This window comes from Homo sapiens, chromosome 1 (genome assembly GCF_000001405.40).
Source record: "Homo sapiens chromosome 1, GRCh38.p14 Primary Assembly".
In the NCBI taxonomy this organism is placed as follows: domain Eukaryota; kingdom Metazoa; phylum Chordata; class Mammalia; order Primates; family Hominidae; genus Homo; species Homo sapiens.
This window is the reverse complement of record NC_000001.11, coordinates 112,227,568-112,247,071: the sequence shown is the minus strand read 5'-3', so window position 1 is coordinate 112,247,071 and position 19,504 is coordinate 112,227,568. Positions and strand designations below refer to the sequence as shown.

The 19,504-nt window shown below is 44.1% G+C and overlaps 1 long non-coding RNA gene across 2 annotated transcripts in view, besides 1 other annotated feature; it reads left to right on the top strand.

Moving 5' to 3' along the window:
- LINC02884 (long intergenic non-protein coding RNA 2884) overlaps positions 1–17,399 on the top strand; it is a 130,935-nt gene extending 113,536 nt beyond the window's left edge. The window contains exons 2-3 of one of the 2 annotated variants that reach the window (NR_183465.1): positions 8,874–9,002; positions 12,173–17,399. This is a non-coding gene — a long non-coding RNA (long intergenic non-protein coding RNA 2884). The remainder of the gene's footprint in view (positions 1–8,873; positions 9,003–12,172) is intronic. The other variant, NR_183466.1, reaches the window with a different exon arrangement.
- Positions 18,059–18,259: a silencer, noted in NCBI's record as "peak367 fragment used in MPRA reporter construct". NCBI's record gives its function as "represses an SCP1 promoter by STARR-seq MPRAs in K562 erythroleukemia cells {active_cell/tissue: K562}" and the evidence as "EXISTENCE:reporter gene assay evidence [ECO:0000049][PMID:32103011]".

The following is a 19,504-nucleotide window of genomic DNA, read 5'->3' as shown; positions in this document are numbered from 1 at the left end:
TAACATTTACTGGTATTAATTTACATCCATTGAATACCTCCTGTGTGCCAGGCCCCATGCTAAACATATTACATAGATGATCTCATTTAATCCTCACAACAGCCTTCTAACATTGCTATTGTTATTAACCCCAATTTACAGATGAGAAAACTGAGGCTGTCAGAGGTTAAATAAAGTACTCAAAGATAGAGCTGGGATTTGAATTTTGGCAGTCTGACTCCAGAGTCTACGCTCTTAATTGCCTCTTCTTTGTCTATGTGTAGGAAGTACAAATGTTAAATAGTTTTTCTTCTTTTTCACCATTTTCCTAAATAGTATTTTTATCTACAAATTCCATTCAGGCAACTCCTGCCTTGGAGGGCATGGTGCTGAAACCTTGGTTATTCTGTAATTAACAGAAGGTTACAGATCCCCTAGCTCCTTGGTTATATCCTGAAGACAGTTAAATGAAGAAAGCTAAAAATGTTGAAGGAAAAATAATACTGTGTTATGAAACCAAAGAGAAATCACTTCGAGGTATGTGTTGTTTTTGGATTATCCATCAATGTGGATAATCAAGAGCTGACTATATTTTTATGCACAACTTAATCTGCACCTTCTAAACAACTTCTGCAGTACAATTTTGGACAACAAATTGTTTCAGATGAGAGATTCTTGCTCCTCCTTGAAAACCATTCTTCATTTAGAATTATCCTCGCTGCCAGCCATCAGGGCTGACAAGAAAGCAGAGACTTAAGCTGTTGCTACAAATCCTGGCCCTTGGCTGTCCCTCATTTGCTCATCACAGATTCTCTTTGTATCTCCTCCTTCAGGAGATGTCCTGAGCAGGGAGGAGGAGCTGGTGCAGCATTATGGCAGGCTTCAAAGCTTTGCACGAGTCTTCCTTTCATCCTCCTGGAGGCATTTGCTTATTTGAGGAGCCCTTAGCCAATTCTGGAAATGGGGTCAGTTCAGGGGGGGCCTCAGAACAGCTGGGATCGAACCAGCAGCTTATTCTTCAGGCAGAGCTCCCTGGTGTGAGACCACACCAGGAGGGCCTGGCCACCTGCTGTTGTTTCCTTGAGCCCAGGCAGCCTGTGGGTAATAGGGCCATTTCTCCAGGAAAAAGAAAGTGGAAAGTGCGATGGGCACCTATGCCAAAGCAGACTTGGAGTTTGGCATCCTGTAGACCTTGATTTACGTAATTGATCTTTTTACAGCTCCTGGAAGAGGGAGCTATCTCTCCTAACTATGGGTGAAGAAACTGAAGCTTGAGGAGGTTGCCACTTTCCCAAGGTCACACAGCTTGTCAGTGGTCTATTTGGGATTTGAACTCCAGTGCAATGCCAGAATCCTTGTTCTTTACTTCTGTGGGGCACCACTTCTCTGCACCTGCCATTTGGTCTTCATTTGGGAGGCTTCCTTTAGATCCAGTTCCAGGCAAAACTGTGATTCCTCTTTTCTTGGATTGGACTGGCAGGTGCCCCTCAACTTCATGGAAGTGAAGAAAATTGTATCAGAAACATTATAAAACCATCTTCAAAAGAAGATGAAATTAGCTGGGCAACTTTGAAGCATAAGGTGTGTTTATTCTTCAAAGTTGCATGGTACAAGAAAAGTCAAAAAACTTTTGTCATGTAGAAAATACAAAAAGTAAAGTGTGCTTTGGTGTCACTTGGCTGATAATTTTCAATACTATCACGTCTACACAGCTTGTAGTCTGCCCTTGTGCCCATGCAGCTTTGCTCTTTTGTAATAGCAAATACTAATAATAGCAAGCACATATATAGCACTTGTAATGCGCCTGTGGCTGACTGTTCTAAGAGCACTTGCTTTGTAACTTACTAGCTTCATAACTAACTTAGTCTCCACCACAAACCCATGAGACAGATACTATTATCATCCTCAATTTACAGAATTTACAGGTGAGGAAAGTGAAGCACAGAGCAGTTAAGTAACTTCAAGGTCATGCAGCAAGTAAGGGGCAGAAGTGGGATTTGAACTTGGGCACTGCGATTCCAGAGTCTGTGTTCTTAACCATGCTTATATAAACTCTTCGTCAGCTTTGTATCACTTCAGTGCACAAGTTTCTTGCTCTGCTTTGGTGGTGTATTCTGTTGGGTGCGACCCTTCAGCTGGGGTCCCTCGCTTGGATATTGTACTCTGCACTTAGCATTTCTGTCTGAAGGCAGCTGTTGTATTGATGATGGAGCTGTGCGCCCCAGGGGCCTTGGCTTTTCCTTCTCCCTGTGTGCAGCCCAGTGCTGCATCTTGCCAGGACCTTGCATGCTTGCCCCTCTACTCAGGAGGAACACTTGCTTCTTTGATAAATGCATTTTGGCCGCACATCCTGTGCTGGCTCTTGTCTAAGCGTTAAGAGGTGTGGAAGCAACACAAAGCCCACTGGGGACCTCTCCTCTCTCCTGTACCCTCTGCCCAGCTCCATCCTTTTCCAGAAGTCAAGGAAAATCGAAGATCCAGGGCAACCTTGAAGGGAAAAGTGATCACAAAGCAGCAGCCTGAGGCAGTTGTGGGCAGGGAGACAGCAGCCCCAGCCTTTGGTTGCAGTGAGCGGCTGGATGTGCTAAGGAGTCCCCAGGCAGCTGGGGACCCCAAGTCTCTGCAGCCTCAGCTCTGGCTAGACAATGTGCTTCTAGAGAGTGGGCCCCAAATCTGAATCATTTCTGGGCCTTTCAATGTGTCTAGCACAGAGCAGACCTTTAGTAACCATGTTCTGGATGAGCGAATTTGCCCCTTAGTCACTGTTTGGTGCTCAGGATTTCTCAGGGAGTCTTGGGGCCTGCATTAGCCACAGTCTCCAAAAGAAAATGGGTTCATCTCAGATGGTTCATCCCAGATGGTTAAAATGAAGAGGACTTAACTTAGGAATGATTTACAGAAGTGAGGGCAGCATGGAGGGAAAACAAGAAATGGCGAGGCACCTAGAGACAAGCTGCACTATCCCTAAGGCTGGAGAGATGGGACTGAAGTGGGGTAGAGAATGGTGCCCCTGGAGCAACTGTGCAAAGGAGGCCACTCTGCAGGAGCTACAGCCATGCAGGGATAGAGCCAGAGACGTGGCCCTGAAACAGGCAGGGTATAGGGAAGAAATGCCCTGACTTTTCTCTCTTCCCATATTCTGAACTCTGCCAGCTGTTCCTGCTTTGGCCCCCCTACAAACCCTACTGGATGCACAGCAAGGGAGCCTGGTGAGACAGTCCTCTGGTGTCAGCCTCCTGGGGCCTGAAGGGTGGAGAAAGGATGGGGAGAGGGATCAGGATATGGTCCTTCCTGTCTCTCCTGTCCACGCCCACTGACCACTGGCAGGAGGCCTTTCACTTCTCCTCTGCAGGAGGATGATTCTAGGAGCAGCCAGATCCTGGGGGCTTGGCCTGCTTTGGAGGAATCAATCCCTCCCTCTCCTCTCCTTTCTCCCTCCTTCCTTCATGCTCTTCTTTTCTCTTGCCCTTCATTTAGACTCCACATTTTACAGGCGTTACTTGTCCCTCTGACTCTGGGCACCCAGGCACTGCTTCTCTCGTCTCCTCCTTCTCAGCCTTTCTTTCCCATCTTCCGGTTCACTGAAAGAACCTTGGCTGCTAGGCCAGCCCTGGACCAGCCCAGAGCCAGGGGTAGCTTCTGAGCCAGGGATGGGAAGTTGCTACAAGCCAGAGTGTGTGGCAGCCTGGATGGTCAGGCTCTCTGCTCAGCTTCCCACTCCCCCAAACCAAAGCCACAGGCCTCTGGGTAGCAAGTAACCACCTGTGTTGCTGAGCACCACAGCTCTGGGCCCTTCTCCTCCACTATGGAAGAGGAAAGCAAGTGGTTCTGTATGTCTACAGATTTTTCTCAAAGAGAATTTTGCTGGGGAGTGGGCAGGGGAGGGGCCAGAGTAGAGCCATAGCATATATCTCTTTGTAGCCTAGGAAGAAGTTGAGCAAAAGAACCACTTTTCCAGTGGCTAGCCCGGTGGGGCTTCCATTGCTTTGTTCATTCGTTTGTAAATGTTTCTGGAGCACCTACTATGTGTCTACCACTGTGCCAGACCCTGAGGATTCAGAGATGGCTGTTGCTTCTGACGGGCGATGGCCCTGTTTAGTGCCTGTGGGTGTATTTTGCCAACTTGAGCTCATTCTAATGTGTACCATACAGGCTCTTACTGATATCAGGTGATGGGACTCAGCCTGCAGTCAGCCAGATTTTGTGCATGTGGGTAAAGAGAAGCAGGAGAGAAATTTCCTATTTCCTAGAAATTGTGTGACTCTGGACAAGCCACCTAGCTTCTCTCTGTGGCTTCTCTATCTGTGTGAAAGGTATACCTTTCCTTTGAGGAATTATAACTTTCCCATCCCATGGGGCTGTCAATCATGAGGCTTTGCCTCCTACATTGGAGGGCACTTGACACAGGCTGGCCAACCAGAGTACCCCATTCATCCATCTTGCACAATGATTCCTCTCAATGTAGGCATGGAATCCTGCCGGTGTCAGTGGGTTTTCTTCGACTGTTTCCCCACCTCCCAAACCGGCCTTTCTTAGTCGTCCTTATCTGAGTTGATGATAATTCTAGCATTCCTATTGCTCAGGCTCGAAATCTTGTAATCATTCTGGACACTTTTCTGTCAATCCACATCCCAGTCATTATTAAGTCATTTTGGCTCTATTTCAAAACATGCTCCAAATCTTACCACTGTCCCACTCTGGTGGAAGCCACCATGATCTCTGCCTGGGTTACTACAATAGTCTGCTAGCATCAGTCACGCCCCCTACAGTCAAGTCAGTTCCAGGAGCCAGTGTGAGTTTGTTGTTGTTGTTGTTGTTGTTGTTGTTGTTGTTGTTTTTGAGACGAAGTCTTGCTCTGTCGCCCAGGCTGGAGTGCAGTGGCACGATCTCGGCTCACTGCAACCTCCGCCTCCCAGGTTCAAGAGATTCTCCTGCCTCAGCCTCCCGAGTAGCTGTGATTACAGGCGCCTGCCACCACGCCTGGCTAAATTTTTGTATTTTCAGTAGAGACGGGGTTTCACCGTGTTAGCCAGGATGGTTTCGCTCTCCTGACCTCGTGATCCGCCCGCCCCGGCCTCCCAAAGTGCTGGGATTACAGGTGTGAGCCACCGTGCCACGTCTATTGTGAGCTTTTTAAAATGCATGTCAGGTCATGTCATTTCTCTGCCTCAAACTCTTCAGTGACAACCCATTTCCCTTTCTATGTGGCCAAAGGTATAATGCGCCTCCCAGTCACGCCCATTATTTCTCTGATCCTGTAATCTCTACTTCCTTCTCTCTCGCTCTGCTTAGTCACACTGATCCTTTCTTTGTGCATCCATCATGCCAGGCATACTTCCACTTCAGGCTCTGTGCATAGGCTGTTCCCTTTGCCTGAAATGCTCTTCCTCCACATACCTGCGTTGCACCCTCCTTTGCCTCCTTCAGCTCTTTGCTCCCATGCCAGCCACTTTCTCGGTGAGTTCTTCTCTACCCTCTACCTCCAATTTATAACATAACTCCTGGCACTCTTATCTCCCTTCCTTGTTTTATTTTCCTTGTGATTATCACTATGTTGCATACTATACATTTTACCTACTCATTTAGCTTTTTATTTGTTCTCCACCCTTCTTCCAATAGAACGTTTTATTCCATAAGAGCATGGGATTTACATTTGTTTTGTTTATGGCTGTATCCCTGGTGCCTGACCACGATAGGGGCTCCCTGCATCCTGTTGAAAGAATAAATAGACTTGACATATCGGCTCTGGGAGAGGGAGTCTCTGCTCCCTGCTCAGAATGAGGGCTTGGGGCTGTTCTCTCTCCCACTGTGTGGAGAGCACCTCCCTGAGTGTGTGTTCCCAGGCACAAGGAACGCAGATGGAGGCATCAAGTCCTCAAGACACAGCATGTCCTCCTGGACCTGGCCAGCTCCACCCTGGCTTCCCAATCCCTCCAGAAACCTCCTCTTTGGCATAGCTGGTTTGAGTTTGGGTTGATCACTTTCAACTGAATGAACCCTGGCCAAAAAAGTCTTGGCCCTTGGGAATCATGAGAATTTAGCCAAGTGACAGGGTCAAGACACTTGGAACAGGAGCCTGGCATTGAGGCAAGCGTTGGTATACATTCTGTGGAGTTCTTTCACCCCAGACAGGCAGGGTAGAGTATTCTGGCTATGAAAGAACACTTCTGAGAGCAGAAACTAAACTTCTTCTGCTCTGCCCTATGCAAATCTACTAAAGACAGACCTTCTCTGTCTGTTACTCAGGGCCATACAGGAAAGAAAATGCAGGCTGGTAGTTCTCACCTGATTCCAGCCCCTTAAGCCTTCCAAGACCACTGCAAGTGACACAGGGAGGAGGTGCCCTAGGCACATGAAAGACCTTGACCATGATGTCTGAAAACCTAAGCCAGGATCTTGGCTCTGCTATCCCAGCTGCATGGCCTTGAGCACGTCTCTGCATCTCCTTGGCCTCAATTTTTCTCATCTGTAAGGTGAGAGGGATGAAATAAATTACTCTCAAAGTTCTTTTCCACATAACATTCAATGGAAGCAGTAGAGCATTATGGTTAAATACGTAGACTCTGGGGCCAGGCTGCCCAAGTTCAGTTCTATTGCTTACTGCAAGCTTAACTTCTGAGCCTCAGTTTCCTCATATTAAAATGGAATACAAAATGATACCTACCTCATGGGGTGGTTATAAGAATTAAATGAATAGAACACATAGAGGGCACAGAAGTAAGCTAGGCATATACTAAGTCCTCAAAAATATTAGCTACTATTATTATTTACCATTATTGAAAGAATTTACCCTGGATCCTGGAATGATTTCTGCTTCATCTGTAAAGGTGACCCCTTCCAAAGGCAGAGCCCTTTTCCCAGGGGTTGCAGCTCCCCCATCTTTGCATGAGCACTGACCATTCTCTCCCTCTCCTGTAGTGTCTGGAGGCAGCAGAGTGCCCTGAGGGCCAGGAGTCAGCTTCCCCACCTCCGGGCTGAAGGCTGGGGCTGGCTTCACTCACTTAATTTGGAGAATTTCCATAGCCCTTTTAGCATATTTTGCTTGGGCTAGCTTATTTTCGCCAACCATACATCTTATCACTGTCATAAATTTTTATTCCTATGGACATGTCTAAACTTATGGGTTGAAATAACGTAATTTACATGCTGTTTAGTATGCAGATTGGGTTAATCTGCTTCTGCAGATTCACCACCAGGCCTGTGTAGCCTCTCTCTCCCTCCAGGACCTCAGCCTGATTTGAATATTGCATTCTGTTTTGTGTGGGGCGGTGAAAGATGTGTGGATCACAAGCCTCCCCTAGACAGCTCCAGCACCCCACTCCCTGCGCCTGCGGTCCACCCTGCACACAGCTCCCCCAGGCAGAGGCCTCCTTCCCACTGCATGTCACTCCCACAGACTCCCCATCTCAAGGCTAAAAAGCCATCAGCAACCAGGTGAGCTCTCTTTTGTCTTAGGCTGCATTCTGAGATGAGGATTTCAATGTGAATGAATCCAGGGGACATTGAACCCAGGAAGCACTGGCAGGTACAGAAGGGAAGAAAGCCAAAACAATGTGTCCTGGAGCAGGTTAACCCTGTGGGCATGTGGGCTCAGTCCCACTGGGGACTCCGGGAGATGGTTTTGAACATGACTCAGAGTTGTCCCATAGAAAGGGTGAAGAAGCCAGGGTCTTTATTCTTTAACTCCTCACCATCATTTGCTGGATCCATGGTCCTTATTCTCTAACTGCTTGCCATCATTTGCTGAGGGCTGTTGGCTGAGGGGTATTAATCCTTGCCCACCGCCCCCGTGCATCTGACCTGCCCCATGTGCAGGCTGAGGAAAGCCTTCAGGAAGGGGTGATAGGTGTTCTCAGAAGGACGTCATTGGCACTTACCTGAATAAAGAATGACAAGGAGATATGAGTGGGGTGCCCTGTTCATAGCCTCTCTTTCCCATTTTCAGCCTGATTCTCCCTCACTTCACCTAGGCTTTGTATCCATTTCATTTCCTCAAGGAGGCCTTTCCTAACTCCCCTATTTGAGACAATGCCTTCTCATGCTTTATCCTCCTTTACTGCTTGTTTTTCTATCTGTGTGTTTTTTTGTCTGAGTCATTTTAGTGTGGGAAAAGACAGTAAGCAGACAAATATTTAATATATCAGGCAGTCAAGGGCATGACAGAGAAAATTAAAGCAGGAGAAGAAGACTTAGGAATGTCATATGGGGATGGATTGCTATTTTATATGGGACAGAGGCGTGTGTCAAGGTTGTCCTCTCCAATAAGACATCAGTGAGCTGGGAGAGACCTTTAGCAAGTGAAGGAGTGAGCTGTGCAGAAGAGCTTTCCAGGCAGAAGGAACAGCAGGTGCAAAAGTCCCAAGGGGGACATATGTTTGACTCATTTGAGGCTAACATTGTGGGAGCACAGCATTTGAAGGGGAGAGGAAGGAAATGAGGAGGAAGATGGAGAGGAGAAGGAGAGGTAATAGGAGGTCTGATTATATAAGACCCTGGAGGTCTTGGTAAAGACTTTGGATCTGTGTGTTAGTCAGGGTTCTGCAGAGAAACAGAATCAACAGGGTGTATATATAAACAGACTTATTGTAAGGAATTAGCTCATGCAATTATGCGGTTTGACAAGTCCCAAGATCTGCTGTTGGCACCCTAGAGACCCAGGAGACTCAGTGGTGTAGTTCTAGTTTGCATACTGGCAGGCTGGAGACCTGGGAAGAACCAATATTTTAGTTTAAGCCTGAGGGGTGGAAAAAAGCCAGTGTTTCAGCTCAAAGGCAGTCAGGAAGGAGGAGTCCCCCTTACTTGTGGAAGGATCAGCCCTTTTGTTCTAGTCAGCTTTCAACTGATTGGATGAGGCCACCCACACTGAGAAGGGCAATTTGCTTTACTATCAACAGATCCAAATGTTAATGTCATTGAGAAACACCTTGACTGACACACCCAGAATAATGTTTGAGCAAACATCCGGGCTCTCCATGGCTCAGTCAAACTGGCACATCATACTCTGAGTGAGATTGGAAGACACTGTAAGTTTTACAGATAAGTGGTGTAATTTGACTTATGTTTTTAAAAATTACTCTGGCTGCTATGTGAAGAAAAGTCTGCAAGGGGCAAGGGTTAATCAGGGACAATTTTTCAGAAGCTATTGCTATAATTCAGGCAAGTGATGGTGGTGGCTTGGGGCAGGGAGACAGTGGGTGGAGGTGGTGAGAAGTGGTTAGATTCTAGATGTATTTTGAAGGGAAAACCTGCAGGATTCATTGATGGGTTGGAATGTAAAATGTGACAGAAGGAGAGGCATCAAGGATGATACCAACGTTTGGGGCCTGAGTAATCAGAGGGTAGGAGGTTCCATTAATTGAGATGTGGAAGACTGTTGGACCAGCTGGTTTGATCAGGATAAATCAGGTGTTAGGTTTTAAATACGTCAAGTTCAAGATGTCTGTTTATGTTTAAGCAAGAATGTAGAGCAGGCCATGGGATATGTTTGACTGGAATTCAAAACTCTGATGTAGTTTAGTTCAGTTTGGCAATCAATAAGTACTTCTTGGCCAGTCGCATTGCCTCACACCTGTAATCCCAGCATTTTGGGAGGCCAAGGTGGGAGGATCGCTTGAGCCCAGGAGTTCAAGACCAGCCTGGGTGACATCGTGAGACCAGTCTCTACAAAAAAATTTCAAACTTAGCTGGGTATGGTGGCACATGCTTGTAGTCTCAGCTACTCAAGAGGCTGAGGCAGGAGGATCACTTGGGCCTGAGAGGTCAAGGCTGCAGTGGCTGTGCCACTGCACTCTGGCCTGGGCAACAGAGAGAGACCCTGTCTAAAAAAAACAAAAACGTACTTCTTGAGTGAGTGATTATGAGACCAGTCAGATTTGTCCCATGAGTCTCCAATGACCTTCTGCATATCACTAATCCTTGTAGTCCAGAGAGGCCACCTCCAGCAGGTGACATCAGTCTCTGCTCTAGAACTAGGACTCATTAAACTGTTTGCCATGATGCTCTTGCTAATTATTTGACCTGGTAGAGACAGGTAGAATCTAGACAAGTGTCTTTCACTGGCATTGTAAGCTTTTAAAACATTCTATTGCTCCATTCCCAGATTCTGATTCAGTTGATCTGGGGTGAAACTTGTACATTGGTAGTTTCAAAAGATCCTCAAGTAATCCTCTGGATCCTAAAGCCTGTCCAGAGACTGAGAACTATTATTCTAGGGGTCTGCCTTAACTGACCTTCTGTACTTCACTGTTTGTTTGTTGTGACTTTAAAGAAAAAGTCAGCCCTTGGCTGTTCACGGTGGCTCACGCCTGTAATCCCAGAACTTTGGGAGGCCGAGGTGGGTGGATCACCTGAGGTCAGGAGTTGAAGACCAGCCTGGCCAACATGGCGAAACCCTGTCTCTACTAAAAATACAAAAAATTTAGCTGGGCGTGGTGGCAAGTTCCTGTAATCCCAGCTACTCGGGAGGCTGAGGCTGGAGAATCGCTTGAACCCAGGAGGCACAGGTTGTAGTGAGCTGAGATTGCGCCATTGCACTCCAGCCTGGGTGACAAGAGCGAAACTCCATCTCAAAAAAAAAAAAAAAAAAAAAAAGTCAGCTCTTTTGTCAAGGCTCCAGAAAAATTACAAAGTCTTAGAAAGGAGTGTTTGAAAAAAAATCCCACCAATTAGAAGAAGAAAAGTTCTGTGCAAAAAGATATTTGGTATAGCATTATTTTTAATAGTGGTAACTTAAAACCACCAAATGGAATATTATACAGCCAGAATCATTTTGTAGACAGTATAGTAACTTGCAAATATGTTATGAGAGAAGGTTAAGTAAAAAAGCAATATGCTAAAATGTGTCTACATTATGAGTGCAACCATGCAAACTTATGCATGCATATAAATAAAAGACTTTAGGGGAACAAAGAAAAATGAAAGCAGTTGATGTGTTAGTATAATAGTATAGCGGATGATGCTGCTTTCCCATTTAAATGACTGCTTTACTGTTGTTAGGGTGTTTACGTAGTGAGCAGGAGAAATAAAGAAATGGCAGTGTTGCTCCAAGCACACAGCCATATTCCCTGCCTCTCCAGGAAAGGTCCTTAGGTTTTATCTCACTATCTCTGAAACAGCGGGATCAACCTCTGGACTCACTGGGGAACCTATTCTATGTCAATTAGATGCCTAATGTATGCCAGCACTGTGCTAGCTACTGAGTTGAAACTGGGTTAGGGGATACATGAATCAGTCATTGTTCTAGAGGAGCTCACTGTAGAGATGGAGAAATTAATGTATTGTAAGCAAACCATTATAATAATTGTAAGATAATGCCATGAGTATGATGACAATGGCATGAACAAAGTTCTGTGCAAACTCAGTTAAATCTGCTCCAGGACCCCAGGGTGTTGAAAAGAGGAGGTGACATTTGATCTTAGTCTTGAAGTTAGAAAAGGGATGGGGGTAAGGGGAGTAGGGAGGAACAGATATTCCAAACAGAGTGTGTAAGGACAAAGAGCCATAAAAGGCATGGAGTGTTTAGAAAACGGCAAATAGGTTTGGATGGAATATTTATTATTTATTAATTTACTCAACAAGTAATTGTTGAGTATTTGTTGTGTGCCAGGTGTTGACTTAGATATTGGGAAGACCAAGAATTATGAACCTTGTCTATGCCTTGAATACTAATCATAATAATAGCAAATATTTATTGAGAGCTTACTAAATGCTTTATATGTATTAACCCATGTATTCTTCCTGATAACTGCTGGAGAGGGTACCATTCTTATTCTCATTTACAAATGATGAAATTGAAATTTAAGGTAAAAGACTTGTTCACAGTCACACATTTGTCATGCAGTGGCGCCCCTAGAGATCACAGTCTAGTGGAGGAAACAGACAAGGAAACATGAAAGCAGAGTGACAAGTCTAAGATGGAGGTAAGGGAGCTCTGAGTAAGGGCCTAGATGCTGTCAAAGTAGAGTTCTTGGAGAAGATGACTTAAGCGGAATCCTGGAGGATGAGTGAGCATTAGACATGGAAAGTGGGAGTGTGAGAAGGAAAGACAAGAGCTTTACAGTCATGATGGGTGATGAAGCTGGCGAGGTTGGTTGGGGCCAGTTTAGGAAAGGCTTGAACATCCTGCTACGGAGTTGAGCCTTTCTTCTATAAGTAATGATGAACTAACAAGCTTTTTTGATCTGTTTTTAATCAGGAGGCTGAGTGACTTGGGCAATGATTCAGCAATACCAACTGTGAACTCTCAATGACTTGGGCTAATGAGAAGAATGACATGGATAATCTAAAAATAATGGACAACTGGAAAAAACATCAGCCTGCTTGTGGAGCACACCAGGTCATGATTTCTGCAGTGGGGGAGGAGCTGATTTGCTTCATTCATTCTAGAACCTCTATTCTAGCTGATGTTAAATCTGGTTGTTTTTGAGAGCACTCATAGCCATCATGCCCATCTCTGTATCACAGGGGTTTGGGAAAAGAAACTCTTCTGGCCAAGGATGGAAGAATAAAAACATAACTGAGTTCCAGATATGCTAATGTTTTCCACTATTGCATCTCTAAGATATCAGTAGGACCTGGAAAGGTGGCAATGACCTCATGGCTCCCAGGTGCTGGGGTTGCTGCAATGGCTGGAGCTGAGAAAAACTTGAAGGTTTTAGAGAAGCTCTGCTTCCAAATGAAGGGTGCAGAGTAATTAATGCCCCAAGCTACATGGAGTGGCCAATTGAAGAAGCTATAAAAGTTGGAGCAGTGCAGGAAGCAACATGCCTGGGAAAGGGGATTTTTTTGCACTTTTTATTGCAATAATGCAGGAACATTCTATGAATAGAATCCAGGGGAGCCATCAAGTCCATGTTCGGGTGACTGTAAGGGGAGGGATTTTGATCCTCTTCCGAGACAGCTGTCTTCAGGCTCAGGCACAGATCACATTATTTTATTAGAGCCTTCAGTAGTTAAGAGAAAGTTCTTGGTTGAATTGGGAAAGGGACCTAAAAATAACTGTAAAATTTTGAGCTAGCTCTGCCCCTTTCTGTACTAGATACAATCCTGGATGTAGAGAATCAGAGACTTGAGGTTAAGACCTAGCTCTGGCACCAACTTGGACAAGTCACATCACCTATCTCCACCTATCTCCTTCACTGTGAAATGAGAGGATTGGAATAAATGATATCTAAATCTCCCCTGGCCTCCATTGTTTCTGCTTTGTGGATGCCGTTTTATGGATTGAGAAATCAAAGTCTATTGATGAAAATGATTGCAATGTGCAGATTCACTTGGAACACAGAAAGACTCAGAGAGCTGGTCAGTACCAAAGGAGGTTGGAGTGCTTTGCCTTGAATGCAAGAAATAACGATGTGCAATGTCATGGAGAATTTTAAAACAATAATAGATACAAGAAAAAGTCGGTCTGCTTTTTATTATCACCATGCACTGACAGTTCTAAGCAATGTCAGTGATAAAATATTCCTCACCTTGATGGACAACTCTCCCCATCCTCCATCCTTGGTATACCACTGTTTATCTGTACAATTCTCTTTTTATTCAATGCTCTTTCAATTCCTCTCACTACACAGGAAGAAAATCTCTTTAAGGAGCTCTTTTTTTTTTTTTAACATTTTTCTTTCTCTCTCTTTCTTTCTTTTTCTTTCTTTCTTTTTTTTTAACCACTTCTTAGCATTGATTTATCCCTAGTAAAGAAGAATGATGAATTACTTTGAGTTACTTCTTTAGTAAGAAAGGTATGCTATAGGAGAGAACTGGAAAGGGACCAAGGAAGCAGGGACAATAAACATGGAGAGACCAGAATATGGAATGAGGTGTGGAATGGGTACAGAAGGCTGGGTGGCTTGTGGGTCAAGTCCTGAACACATGGCTTGTGGACAGGGTGTGGACAGCTCCCTGAAGGCCCAGGTTAGGTTGGGCATGTGGTGCATGAAAACAGACCCTGCCTGCCTCTCAGCTCAGATTTCTCAGATTTCCAGCACCCCGGCCCTTTCCTGGGGCTTCCCCTTGCCTCCCCTCAGGTGGATTTCCTAAGAGTGAACCCTCTGTACTACACCTGCAGTCACACCACTCGCCATCCTTCTCTGAGTTGGATTTCCTCTCCACCCTGCCCTGGTGTCTAGAATATGAAAAGGCTTTGCCACCCTGGGGACTTGCATATCCTGCATTGGTGCCTCCCTTTTGCAGGCCTGGCCCCCTTGGTGTTCAACCTTCTGCGAGCTAGCACCTGCTGCAGGGTGCATTTGCGTGCTCCAAGGAGCCATTCCTGTGACAAAATAATCTATGCACATTCTTTGGGGGCTGAATGGGCTGCTCTGGAGAACAACAGAGGGGACCCCCAGAAAAATATGAGTGTGGTGGAGGAAGAGGCTGAAGGCAGGGTGTTAACCCTAAAGATAGAGATCTTTGTCCTCTCAAATTAAATAAGAAGTTTTGGGTTTTTGTTTGTTTGTTTGCAAAGTGAGAACCCAGTTAGTAGCAATTAAATTGACAACCCAATTCAAACCAGTCCAAACTGAAGCCATGAGGGCCAAGTTCTAGTTTCTTACAGATTTACAATTTGCTAAATTTTCTCTTTGACACACACATCAGACACATATTCCCTCTGGCACATTCAGTTTCTAATTGTTATCCTAAGATGATTTATTTATTCTTACAGGAAGAGAAAAGAAAGGGGCAGCTTTTACCGAAGTTTGTCTTATTTCTTTCACTCTTTCTTTTCTGATTATAAAAGCCACACATGTTTACCATAGAAAGCTTAGCACATGAATATTCTAAACAGAGATAAATACTTCCTATCAACCCCATCATTCAGAGATGACCACTCTCCATTTGCAGCTGTGGTTGACATGGAATCGTCTGGGGAGTTTTATTGGCAAGAACTTGCTCTATTCAGCTGAGCTTTTCCTTAAGAAGACCCCTGAGGTACCAGCCCTCTCTGAGCCTAGTGGAGGGGGACTTTCTGTTCATGCTGAGGCCCCTTCCCAGCCTGACAGAAGCTTCTAGCTCTTCCTTAGTCAGTTCCCTGCAGGTCTGGGAACCTTGTGCTAGTTCTGTTCTCTGGCCTCTGTGCTGTCACCTGTGAAGCTGTGTCCTTTGATTTCCTCTTGCAATCCTCTTGTTGCTCACAGCTGGCAACCTTCATAGTCATTCACACTCACACACAGCATTTCTTCATTTATTCACATTAAGTCATTTCACACTCATTTTAATAGTTATTATTCACAGTACTGTTAGTTTATAGCACCGCACAACATTATAATGTTGTAGTGAACAGTCGTCATTTCTTTGTGCTGCTCAGCCAGCTACGCACCATTCTGGGTTTGGGACCTCCCCACCCACCTGCCTGCTGGGTGTGCAGGCTGCTCTTCTTTCACGATGGAAACCAAAGGGGGGAGTTCCTCTCTCCCAGCCCAAAGGCCATGCAGGAGCCAGCCTGTGATCTTGGTTCAGCCAAACAGGCAGTACCATCTCACACTTTGACTCTTAAGAGAACTTTGCTAAGAATCTGGAACAGGTCAGACTTTCCTTATGGTGGCGGCAGAGCCTTTGAGATTTGGCAGTCAGCCCTGTTGGTTTTGAGCACCCCTAGGCTGTGGTGGCCTAGGGCAGCACAGACACTGCCCTACCCATATGGGTCCTGAGGCCCTGGCTAGTCCCCACTGGCCATCCTGGGTTTCCATCGTGTTTCTGGGCCTTGTTCTCCAGCTTTCTGTTGATTCTGTGAGTTATCTGATATTCTTCAAAAATATTCCTTTTCATTTAATGCTAGCCAGAACTGCTTAAAGAACCCTATACTGTTTGACTTTTGTCTTAAAGTTTGAAACGTTACTTAGTAAGTCACAACATACTAATTTGAATTTCATTTGTAACATAACTTCTCTTTCCCTAGGCCACATAAGTCAGGGAGATGGAGAGAGAAACAGAGGGGACAAAAATATAGTCACAACAGTATTTACCTGGCTTCATTTCACCCTTAGCTGCAATTGTCCGGAACTCAGGTCCTGCCTCCTAAGATCCTCCACAATAGCATTTCTGCGCTTCTCACTGCCTTGTAGCCCTGTAGCCTTCTGCTTGTCTATCTCAGAGACTGCTGGTAGTGCTGCTTTTGTAAGGGTTTTCTTCTTCCATGGCCCATTTGTCTGTGGGCTATCTGGCTTGCTTGAGTCATATCCACTAATCAACTATTAAGGCTGATTCTTCTCTTTGGAAGACCCAGAGATTTCAGCTATGATTCTGGGCTACACTTTGAGCCTCAGAAATGACCATGTGTTTAGTGGTGACCTCACGGGCAAATGCCGCAATACTTTTCTGGTGCCTGTCTGCCTAAGTCTTTTCTTCTCTGTCACTCCAGTTCTGCTTGTCCCCAGGGATATGATTTTCAAGTCTCATGATCTTATGTCAAGTCACATCCAATATGATCTGACGGGTTGGGGAGCAGGGCAGGGTCGGATGATCTGGAATGACTGCCTCCTGTGCTGGAATAAGCGATAAGCAGACAGGCCCCTCCGCAAGTGCTGGGAGGAACGCCAGTGCCGCAGGTAGAACACAGCATGAAAGGGGTATGTGGAGGACGACAGGCCCGGAGAAATCCTGTCTCAGGCCAGAGTGGAAGGCCAGAATGTGGACTTTTCCAAGCAAGCAGGTTTTGCAACATCTCTAGGAACCTAGGAGCCAGCAGTGAACAGGAGTCTAGGTAGGCAGATGGGAAGCAGCGTCCTAGACACTCAGCTAGGGTTTGGGACCAAGAATGCAGAAATGAATAGCTCCGGGTTGGGGGTGGGAGGTGTGGCACAGAACTAGGACACATCTGTAGAAAAGTATTTTTCTCGAACCATATCTGTATTTTAGGTATTCCAAGTCTAAATATTCCATGGTTAAAAAAGTTTGGAAATTATGGAATTTTAAGTTCTTCTCTTGGAGATTCATGATTCACAAGACTATACAAGACGCTGAATCCTATGATTACAAACAAAAAAACAAAACCAAACCTGTTTAGTAGGTAAACAGGGTTATGTAGGCAGAAGACATTTTCTTTTTTTAAATTACTTTTTTCAAATTCATGAGCATTTGAAGTGGCAGCCAGCTGAGTCACAAAATTGCTTTTAAAAAATTATGATTATTTTGTAATTATAAAACTGCATATATAATACATATAAGTGGTTTCAAAAATATTAGAGAAACAATACGTTAAGAAATAGATTATTACCAGTCCCTATGAAGTTCCCCTGTGTGTCCCTCCTCATTCAAATTTCTCTCCTCTCTCTAAAGGTAACTCCAACTTGAATTTTACCACTTTTCTATGTATCCCCAAACAATATTGTTTAACTTCACCTTTTTCAAATATTATACCATTTGAAATCATTGTTTGCAACCTTCTGTGAATTGCATTTTTTCATTAAAGATATTGATAAAATCAATCTATGTTGACATGTTCTATAATTATTTCATCTTTATGGCTGTTTAATATTCCATTGTATAAATACATTACAAGTTAGTTGTCTATTTACCTATCGAACATTTGGGGTACTTTCATTTTTCTCCTGTAATTATTACAAACAATGCCATGTGAACATTCTTGGACTTTTCGCCTGCGTGTATGAATAAGCCTTTCTCTATAATCTATTCTTCCAAGTAGATGTTGCTGGGTCACGGGAGTTGTGCACATCATCCACTTTACTAGAAACTGTTTTCTAAAGTGGTTGTACCATTTTACACTCCAACCACTGTTTACATGCTAACCAACACTTGGTATTTTCAGAATTTTCATATTTTTTACAACTAGGTGGGTGTGAAATAATATCTTATTCTGGTTTTAATCTGCATTTCCCTAATTTGCTATCTCCACCACTATTCTCCCAGTATTCTCCAGTAAGAAACAGACATTATCATTGAAATTAAAGTTAATAGGATGTGGGCTACTAAACAGCCTTTGTAGCTGAAAGATAAAAATGCAAACTGCATAATTCATGGTTTATTGTTATATGTAACTCCAGTTGACTTCAATGGAAAAGGAATTTTGAATGAAACATCATGGAAAAGACAGTACCTACAGCAAGGCTGGAGGACCAGGCTCAGGGACAGGTCCAGAAGAATCAAGGAAGACCAGCAGGAACCATGGTAGGATTCACTCCACAGGGCCGTTCTGGTTTTGAATCACTACTGTTTACACAGGCCACTGCTGCTAGGGAACCACTTAAAGACAATACTAGTGTTTTTGCAGGGAGACCGGGGGTGGGAGGAGTCAGGTACAGATAAAATTTTACTTCAAACTCAACAATTCCACACCAAGAAACAGCTACCAGCATTCCTGGAACTATTATGCCATTATTTGCTGTAGCTTGCTTGTCCTGTAGCCTACTTTGGCACCTTAACATCTCTATTTGTTGATGTTGTCTTTCTTTTTGAATTATTTATCATCTTTATCATTTTTAAGTGTACAGTTAAGTGGTAATAACTACATTTATATTCTTTTTCCCCCTTCATCTCCCTTCCCCTCTACCCCTTCCCTGGTAACCACCAATCTGTTCTCTATCTTCATGCATCCACTTTTTTAGCTCCCACATGTAAATGAGAACATGTGATATTTATTTTTATGTGCTTGGCTTATTTTACTTAACACAGTGGCCTCCAATTCCATCCATGTTGCTGCAAATGGCAAGATTTCATCCTTTTTTCATGGCTGAATAATATTTCACTGCATATATATACCTCATTTTCTTTATTCATTCATCCATTGATGGGCATGTACGTTGGGTCCATATTTTGGCTATTGTGAATTGTGCTGCAATAAGCATGGGAGTGCAGATATCTCTTTAATATATTAAATTCCTTTCTTTCTTTTGATTATATACCTAGTAGTGGAATTGCTGGATCATATAGTATATCATATAGCAGTTCTATTTTTTATTTTTTTAGTTTTAGAGATGGTTTTTCACTGTGTTGCCCAGGTTGGAGTCAAACTCCTGAGCTCAAGTGATCTGCTACCTTGGTGTCTAAAAGTGCTTGGATTATAGGCATGTGAGGCACTGTGCCTGGCCCTATTTTTAGTTTTTTGAGGAACCTCCATACTGTTTTCCATAGTGACTGTACTAATTTACATTCCCATCAATAGTGTATGAGGGTTCCCCTTTCTCCATATCCTTGCCAGCATTTGTTATTGCCTATCTTTTTGATACAAGTCATTTTAACTGAGGTGAGATATTTCATTGTAGTTTTAATTTGCATTTCTCTGATGTTAGCAATATTGAGTATTTTTCTATACCTGTTGGCTATTTGTATGTCTTCTTTTGAGAAATATTTTTTCAGATATTTGCTTATTTTAAAATCGAATTTTTTTTTGCTATTAAGTTGCTTGAGTCCCTTACATATATATATATTCTGGTTATTAATCCCTTGTTAGATGGACATTTTGCAAATATTCTTCCCCATTCTGTGGGTCACTTCTTCACTTTGTTTCCTTTGTTGTGTGGAAGCTTTTGAGCGTGATGTTATCCTGTTTGTCTGTTTTTGCTTTGGTTGCCCA